At 45.9% G+C, this 8,593-nt stretch overlaps 2 annotated features.

The window, feature by feature from the left end:
• Positions 4,365-4,534: an enhancer, noted in NCBI's record as "experimental_99614 CRE fragment used in MPRA reporter constructs". NCBI's record gives its function as "activates a minimal promoter by MPRAs in K562 erythroleukemia cells, with activity observed for both the introgressed and non-introgressed 7:51546037 variant alleles {active_cell/tissue: K562}" and the evidence as "EXISTENCE:reporter gene assay evidence [ECO:0000049][PMID:34662402]".
• Positions 7,582-7,876: an enhancer, noted in NCBI's record as "tiled region #3025; HepG2 Activating DNase matched - State 8:EnhW". NCBI's record gives its function as "activates a minimal TATA promoter and a strong SV40 promoter by Sharpr-MPRA in HepG2 cells {active_cell/tissue: HepG2}" and the evidence as "EXISTENCE:reporter gene assay evidence [ECO:0000049][PMID:27701403]".

Here is an 8,593-nt window from a genome sequence, read left to right on the forward strand (position 1 = left end):
TTGTCTTATAGTTCCGGGGGCTGGAATTCCAAGATCAAGGTGTGGGCAGGGCTGGTTCCTCCTGAGGCCTCTGTCCTGGGCCTGTAGATGCTGTCTTCTCCCTGTGTCCTTACATGGTCTTCCCTTGTGTGTGTATCTGTGTCCTAATCTCTTATAAGGACACCGTTCAGGTTAGGACTCACTATAAAGACCTCAATTTAACGTAATCACCTCTTTAAAGCCCCATCTCCAAATACAGTCCCATTCTGAGGCGCTGGGGTTAGGACTTCAACATACAAATTTTTGAGAACACAACTTAGCCTGCAGCAGTGCAGTACTCAGTACAGCTGTGGGAGCCCACTAGACGACTTCTCCCCCATCTTGGGGAGGGCACGGAAAATAGTCTCGTGTGAGAAGCTGTGTGGTCTTCTCCTTGCTGTAGAACAGAATGAGGGCAATGGAAGCAGGCATCAGATGTTGGCCTGGACATCCCATTGTGATACAGATGTCACATCCCAGTAGGTGTTAAAGACACATGTGGGCTTTGTGCTGGTACTAGGGTGGATAAGAGATGAGTAAGGTGTACTGATGCCCGTTGTGGAGCAACTGCAGTTCCATAGTGAAATAAGAGAATTCTATTCATCACAATGAAACAAAGCAATCCGGATGTCATAGGAGCTAAGAAATCTGGCAGTGGGCTCAAAAAGGGGAGAGATCACTTCCCTTTGGAGTATTAGAAGATCTTTATGGTGACAAAGAGGCACTCTTTGACCAGAACTTTATCAGGCTCCTCCGCGTCCTTTTAGACTAGGTCTGACCTTGTGTTTCCCTCTCTTTCCTTGTGGAATCCAGCTTGAGCAAGAATCTTGCTGAGTCCTTAATCAATAGAGTCCCACCCTTGGGATCTGACCACCCTCTGTGTCTCGTCACCCTGGCTTGACCTCAGCACAAGTCTCATTGAGTGGGTCTAACAACATTCCCCTTGTCCCTGTGATTTCCTCTTAGTAATTTTCCATCACCGCCCACTGCCTACTTCTAGGCTGCAAATCCCCTCACCCATGCTGTGCTCAGAGTTGAGCCCAGCCTCTCTCCCCACAGCAAGCCCTCGTTGCAGTGGTCCCTACACTGATCACCATGCACCCCCTGAATAAAGTCTGCCATACCATTTTTTACCAAGTGTTTGGATAAATTTTTCTTTAACAATAAGTGAGAAAATAGCATTAACAACAGGTGTTAAATGATGCATAGTACAATTAAGATAGAAGAGTAGATGGGTATTTCTTTTAGGTGGAAGGAAATAATGATTATTTATTGGGCCTCTACTATATGCAATGTGATTTGCTTGTATTACTTTGGTGACTCTTCATGTTAATCCAGTGAGGACGGCCCTATTATCACCATTGGACAGCTGAGGAGCTGATTATCAGAGAGGGAAAGGAGTTGCCAAAGTCCTTGAGCTAGCATGGTGCTGCTCTCCATTGGACAAGGGCTCACAGAGTTCTCCCCACAGCAACCCCCTCTGAGGAGCAGCACAGGCCACGTTCTAGAGGGGACACAATGGGCTAGCCTGGGGATGGGCCAGTGGTATTGAGGGACACAGTGCCTCTATGATGGTGCCTGATGTTGTCTGGGGATGAGAGTGGGGAGCACAGGTCTTCTTGTAACAGTGGGTCTCCTAGGGAAGTACCCCTGAATGTCCTGGAAAGCCCCCAAACTGATTTCTGCACTCAACTCCCAGAGATCTGGATCAAGGAGGTCTGGGATGAGGCAGATAATTTGCATGGCTAACAGGCCATGGTCCAGAAACTGCACTTTGCAAACCACCACACTAGAGAAGAGAAGGAAGAGACTCACAAGGACACAAGTGACTCAATGTCTAGAGTGGCCAAGAAAGAATACAGAGAAAATCGGAGAATTGTGTGAACATTCAACTTAGCGATTTATTAAAACTCAGGGATGTTTGCGTGAAGAGGGCTGTAACTGGGAATCTTTTCATTTTTTTTCTCATTTACACTCTCAGGTACGCTTTAAAACTCCGGTGAAATGTGTATCTCTCACTAGGCCAGAGGCACCATGTTGGGTTGAACCCTGGGTCTGAGGGTGGGTTAGGATGTCCACAGCAGGGTTGCTGGAGGCTTGACGCCAGGTCTGCAGGCCTCTCTCGGGATTGGATGCTGGGTCTGGATCAGTCCTGGGGGTGCTCTGCCCCATAGGGGCCTGGAGTCTGAGCGCGGAGTCCTTTCTGAGACCCCAGAGAAACCCGGGCTCTGATTTTACCATGTGCTTATTTTAAGCCCTAACCGCCAAGGGGCCCTTTCTAAAGTGCTTCCCCAGGAGGCCAGATCGACGTTCACACCGCGGTCGGCTCCATTAGCACTCAGGCCCCTGCTCCCCCAGGAGATGGAATCAGGTCATGGAGTTCAGAGCAGCTGGCACAGGGGCTGAGTGAAAAGTATCCTTAGTTAACGAGGCCCTCCTTTAAAGGTCAGCTCATAAAACTAATCAGTCCAGTGCTTCCGCTGCAAAGTTCGCCCTCCTCTCTGCAAATTCTCATTTCCTTCTGGGTTGACAAGTTGCTAGCCATCGGCCCTGGGATGGCTCCCACAGGGAGCGAAGGGGCCGCCTCTCGGTTGATGCCTCCATCATCACCTGCTGCTTTATTTAAAGATCTCCTGGAAGAACTCTTAGCTTATCCAGAGCGTACTTTAAAAAGAGAACTGGCTTCTTAAAAGATCATGAGTATGCCATACATACTTGAACAAAAGACTCGAGGCCAGTTATAATAAAGAAGTCATTACCTTGGGAAGAAAGGAGGTAAGGGGGAGAGGCCCTGGGAGCTGCGGTGGAGGAGAGGCTGTGGGTCCCCGCAGGCCAGGAAGGCTGGAGGCAGAGGAGGGCGCGACTCCCGCGTGTTATCAAAGGAAGTCATAAAGGATTGTTGGGGGACGCACCGTTTTCTCAGCCCAAGCTAGGTTGCTTTTTCCTTCTTAAGACTTTAGATATGTCGCAGTGAACCCCAGAGTCATCAGTATATTGACGGAATGTTAAAAAAAAAAGAGACAACTTTTGACAATATATGATATAGCTATTTGCCTTGAAAAAAGAGCTGAGGGCCCTGTGACGCCCACGTCATAGCACTACCAAGATAATCACTTGTGTGAGAGAATGTGAAACTGAGTTTGTGTTGTGTTATAGTGTGTGCGTTTGTGTGACAGTGTGTCAGTGTGTGTGAATGTGTGTGACAGTATTCGTGTGCAAGTGTGTGTATTTTGAGTAAATTTGTGTAAAGTGTGTGTATCGTGTATGTGTGAATGTGTATAGTGTGTGAGAAAGTAAATGTGTATGGTGTGTGATTGCGTGAGAATGAGTGTGTATTTGTGTGTGTCGGTGTGTATGATGTATGGATGTGTGTGTGAGTTCATGAATGGTGTGTATGGTACGTGTGTGGGTGTGTGAATGGTGTGTAGGTATGTGAATATGGGAGCGAGTGTGTGAATGGTGTGTGTGTGTGTGAATGGTGTGTGGTATGTGTGTGGATGTGTGAATGGTGTGTGGACGTGTGAATGTGTAAGCATGTGAATGGTGTGGGTGGTCGTGTGAGGGTGTGTGTGAGAGTATGGGTGTGTGTGAGTGTGGGTGTGTGAGACTGTGTGGGTGTGTGTGGGGGTGTGTGAGTTTGTGTGGGTGTGTGAATGGTGTGGGTGTGTGAATGTGTGAGTAAGCATGTGAATGGTGCGAAGCATGTGTGCGTATAGGTAGGTGCATGTGTGTGTATGTGTGTGTGGGTGAGTGTGTGGGTGTGTGTAGGTGCACGTGGGTGTGTGTGAGGGCGCATCTGGGTGTGTGTTTGCGGGTGTGTGTGTGTGTGTGGGCGTGTGTGGGTGTGTGTTTGTGGGTGTGTGAGTGTGTGTGTGGTGTTGTGCGTGTGCTAGTGTGTGTGTGTGCGTGTGTGAGCCTGCAGGCTCTCTGAGGAGGCGGAGATGGTGCATGTGGAATGCCGCTCTCCTGTCTTCAGCGGCTTGGCCCCCGCCACGCGGGCCTTCAGAATGGAAAGTCAGATAGCTTAGCCTCTGCTTCTCCTCTCAGCGTCAGCTGTCCCTAGCAGGCTTTTTTTCCCCCTTCAATATTTGAGGTTTGCTGGCTAAAACGGAACCGGAAAGGAATACAAAGATAGGTGCGTGCATGCTTGCTGGTCACAGGCCCTGCAGGCGCCATGTGCCGCGCTAGACAGCCGAGGCTGGCAGCCGCTGCTGAGAGACATGAGCAGTTGGCTGTCAGGTGTGATGCGGGAGTGAGGGTCCTGTGGAAGACATGTGACCATGCTGACCCTTCCACGGCTGCTAGTATTCGCAGATAGGCTGGTGTGGTGCAGGGACCGTCAGGGCATGGGGTGGGGGGTGAAAGTTCTTAGTTTTCAAATACTTTCCCTAGGAGTAGGGTGGCCAGGTGAAATACCAGTGTGTGATGTCCGCATACCACTGTGTGCTTGCACCTGGCTCCGTGACTACTTCAGCCATACTTACAGTAAATATGATTTGTTCTTTACTGAAATTCAAGTTGACCGGAGTCTCCTGGGTTTTTTTTTTTTTTGAGACGGAGTCTCGCTCTGTAGCCCAGGTTGGAGTACAGTGGCGCGATCTCGGCTCACTGCAAGCTCCGCCTCCCGGGTTCACGCCATTCTCTTGCCTCAGCCTCCAGAGTAGCTGGGACTACAGGCGCCCGCCACCACACCCGGCTAATCGTTTTGTATTTTTAGTAGAGACGGGGTTTCACCGTGTTAGCCAGGATGGTCTCGATGTCCTGTCCTCATGATCCGCCGGCCTCAGCCTCCCAAAACGTTGGGATTACAGGCGTGAGCCACCGCGCCCGGCCCCTGGGTTTTTATTTGCTGAGGCTGGTCATTCCACCTTGCAGCCATCCTAGCTGTGATTCTATGGGGAACCCAGGGGCTGTTTCCATGACTATCCAAGCTTAGATTTCAAGCAGTTCTTTGTCTCCACAGCTAAGGTAGCCACAGCTATTCATGGCAGCCACTTAATGACCCCATTATGTCACAGTTAGGCAGTGGCTCAGCGGGATGGATCACCTAAGTCAGGTAAGAGTGCACTTTTCATTGAGTTAGTATTAATATTTGCAATACACATTTTTTGTTATTTGATGGGGCCACGTATAAACACAGTGATCACTGTAGCCATTCTGACAGTACCTGAACAAGAGAAAATTTTAGTAAAACCCTCTCTGTTCAGAGTGGGAGCTGGTTCCCTGGCGGCTGTGCCACATGTAGGAAATGACCTGTCGAGGAGCCAGGGCTGGGCGGGTGTATTCTGGAGGGAGAAGGTGAGTGGATAAGCTGTTCTATATTTCAGTCCTGTTCTTCACCTTGGGATCACATCGAAAACATTTTCACCTACGAGCACCCCAATACTCCCTTGGGTTGCCAAACCCTCAGTTCCTGACCGCTCTGCCTCTTTCCCCGTTTCTTGCAACCTCTCCAGGGCCTGTGTGACACAGGCTTCACATCTGCACATCATGTTCATCTTGGCGAGAGATTTGTAACTGCAATTCCCGTGCTCCATCTCAGCCAGACTGAGGTCACACTGACTGCCTGTTGGCAGAAATTTCTAGTCTATTTCTTTACATTTTCTACTAGTATTATAAACAAAGCCCTCTGTCCAGATATTGTTTTAGACCTCGTTGATCTCCTAAATGACAGTGTTTTACTCATATGAATCAGATATTTAGTATCCTTGAGTAACGTCCTTACATTTATTTCTCCTCATTCTATCAGTTACAAAAAATGTATTGCATTGCCCACTGTTATTGTATATGAATCCAGTTTTCTTTGTATTCTGGCAATTTTTGAAGCTATAAGGCACATGCAAATTTAAGACAGTTATGATTGTTTTATAATCCCCAAGTAAACACTGTCAAACTGCAAAACAGGTGTCCCCTTTGTGCAACAGGCTCATCTTCTCTCTCACAGCTGCTCTCCAAGACGCATTCTCATCTTACTTGTGATGATTCTCATCTTACTTACTCTAAGTGTGAGAAGTGTCTGAGAGTCTCAGAAGTTGCAGGATGAAGGATCTTTTTTTAATAAAAGCTCACAATTGCCCTTGATTTGAGATTTTAAAATCATCCCTACCTTGATATAAAGAAAGCGAGAATTGCTAATTGTCTTCTCTCTCAGTTGTAGGAAGAATTAGGTATCTTCATATGTAAGGTTCTGAAATGACTTTTCTATTTTGCTGGATAAAAGTTCGTAAAAATTTCATGCTGTGAAGTGCACAAAATGGCAAAGGAAGGCTGTAGCTCATACATAGATGCTAATCTATTATTGATACTGTTTGTTCCAACTGTGAGTTAATGCAGTCAAGAATAGGCAAATGCAGTGATCCTGGCACTCATTTATTTTATGTGATGATGTGAAATTGTCTCCTAAACAGATGACCAGCTGTTTCAGATTATTCTGTGAATTACAGTAATTTTGGTAATTAAGAAAAAAAACTCTGATTTTTTTTTTCTTGGCAAAACCTCTAAACTGCAGATACCCTCTGACCTCCTTGGAAAGCTCCATTCTCCTATCTGTAGATAACCCAGAGGGTGATTAATTAAGCCCAATTAATACAGTCATTTCTAAAATGGCTGCTCGGATAGCTCATTATTGAGATTGTTGAAAGGACATTGCTATTTTCCTTTCTGTTTCCCGGTCGCAAATGAAAGTTGAGTGTGGAGGAGGATGTGTTGCTCCTGGGGTTTCAGTGTGGTGGAAAGTGTGGGTTTGCTGTCGGATCCACTTGGTTCTAGACCTGAGATCTCTCTGGGGAGGTTTCCTACATGCAGCCACTTCCATCTGTGGAGTGAGGCTGTTGAATTTAACTTCAGTTGCAAAGAGCTCTGTCACCACCTTGGATTTTTTAATCCCATCTCACTATTTAGCCTTGGCCATCTCTTATTTCAAGTTTCAGGATTCACCTTGCTATAGGCATGCATTTCTTTGTTTCCTGTTTCTAGTGACCTTGGAGAAGACATTGAACTTTCTGGGGACCAGTTCGCCCTTGTGAGCACTAGCCACAAAAGGTCCATCTACACCACATGCCGAGACACGCAAGTGCTTTGCGAACTTTATGACTTGGAATGCATTGTGGCTGTCAGGTGATCTGACTTGCGGTCCAGTGCCAGTGTTAGAAGCAACTGCCCTTCAGTTGTAGCTCTGTGTCTTCTCCTTGGTGATAGGCAGAAAATATATACAGCTATAGCTGTGCAAAAAGATGTAAATTTGAATTATTTGTATGCCAGAGAAGGCTGCAGCTATGGGTTTCTAAATTCAGATTTCTCAAGATGAATTGAAGCTAATGGATGTGAACCTTATAGCTTGATTTAAATTAAGTCATCAAATGCCTAATTTCTAAAAGTTTATTTGCACATTTCCAATAGAATGCTATTTGGAAAGCCAAGAGGCAGAACTGAATATATTTCCTTTGAGATAAAACCTCCTTCCTGCTCTGGGATTTCAGGTGGACCTATTCATTATCACAATGGTTGACCATTTCCCATGTGCTGAGGGCATAGCAATTTCAATAATTTTACCCTAGAGTCTATGATTTATAGTTTCATTTTCTTTTCTGACTTGTGGAACTTATACCCTTGTGTGTTCACACTGACATTTGGTAGCAACTCTGCAGAGTATATGCAGCATGGAGCACTCCGGAAGCCACCCTGGCCATGCACATTTGTCCACTGGACTTTGAGTTGTATCACATACTGGCCAGAGAAAAAAATGAGTCATCTCGGTGGGGAAATGACCACAGAGTGTTCTGCAAAGAAACCTTTTACATATGCTGAAATTCATTGCATTGTTTTTGAGAGTGCCGGATAGTTATAAAGAGATTTTAAAAAATCATTTCAAAAAACAGTAGCCATGAATTGATTTCTCCAGATTGTTCAGCTAACCTCTTTGGCCCAGAACTAATACAATAAATATAATAAATATAATTCTTACTATTTTTGAGATACTTTACATGCAATACAACCAATTTTTATAAGACTGCTGTAAAGTAGATATTATTATTCCCATTTTGTAGGTGAGTAGACTGAGGCTGGCATGTGTTCAGTAAAATTCCCAGAGTTAAAATTAATTCTTTTATCAGGAAGGATTAAAATCCAGGCCTGTCTGACTTCAAAGCCACCACACCCACCCCAGAACCTCTCACCAACCCCCCTTAGTAGTATGATCTCCCTTGTGTCTCAGGTAATGAACTAATCATGGGCTAGAGGAGAAGTCATAGACCTCATAATTCCCAGAAGTAGCAAAGGGTGAAGTTATGAACAAATCAAGGCTGGTCTCTAGGAGTAAAAACTGTATAAAAGATTATACAGTTTAATCACCTTTCCTCCACCTTACCCCAATATCGTAGTTCTCAGTTCTGCTACAGCAGCTCCATTACTCTAACTGCACTCAGCTGGTCACTTTTTATCACAAATGGAAGGTCTGAGGCTATAAACATGATCCCACCTTCACTGGGAATATATATGTCCCCAGGCATCTTGGCTGGGTATGTCTTCTCCTTGTGGATCCTTCACATTTTGTGATGCATAGCAACTTCCCATTGGC

This window comes from Homo sapiens, chromosome 7 (genome assembly GCF_000001405.40).
Source record: "Homo sapiens chromosome 7, GRCh38.p14 Primary Assembly".
Taxonomy (NCBI): domain Eukaryota; kingdom Metazoa; phylum Chordata; class Mammalia; order Primates; family Hominidae; genus Homo; species Homo sapiens.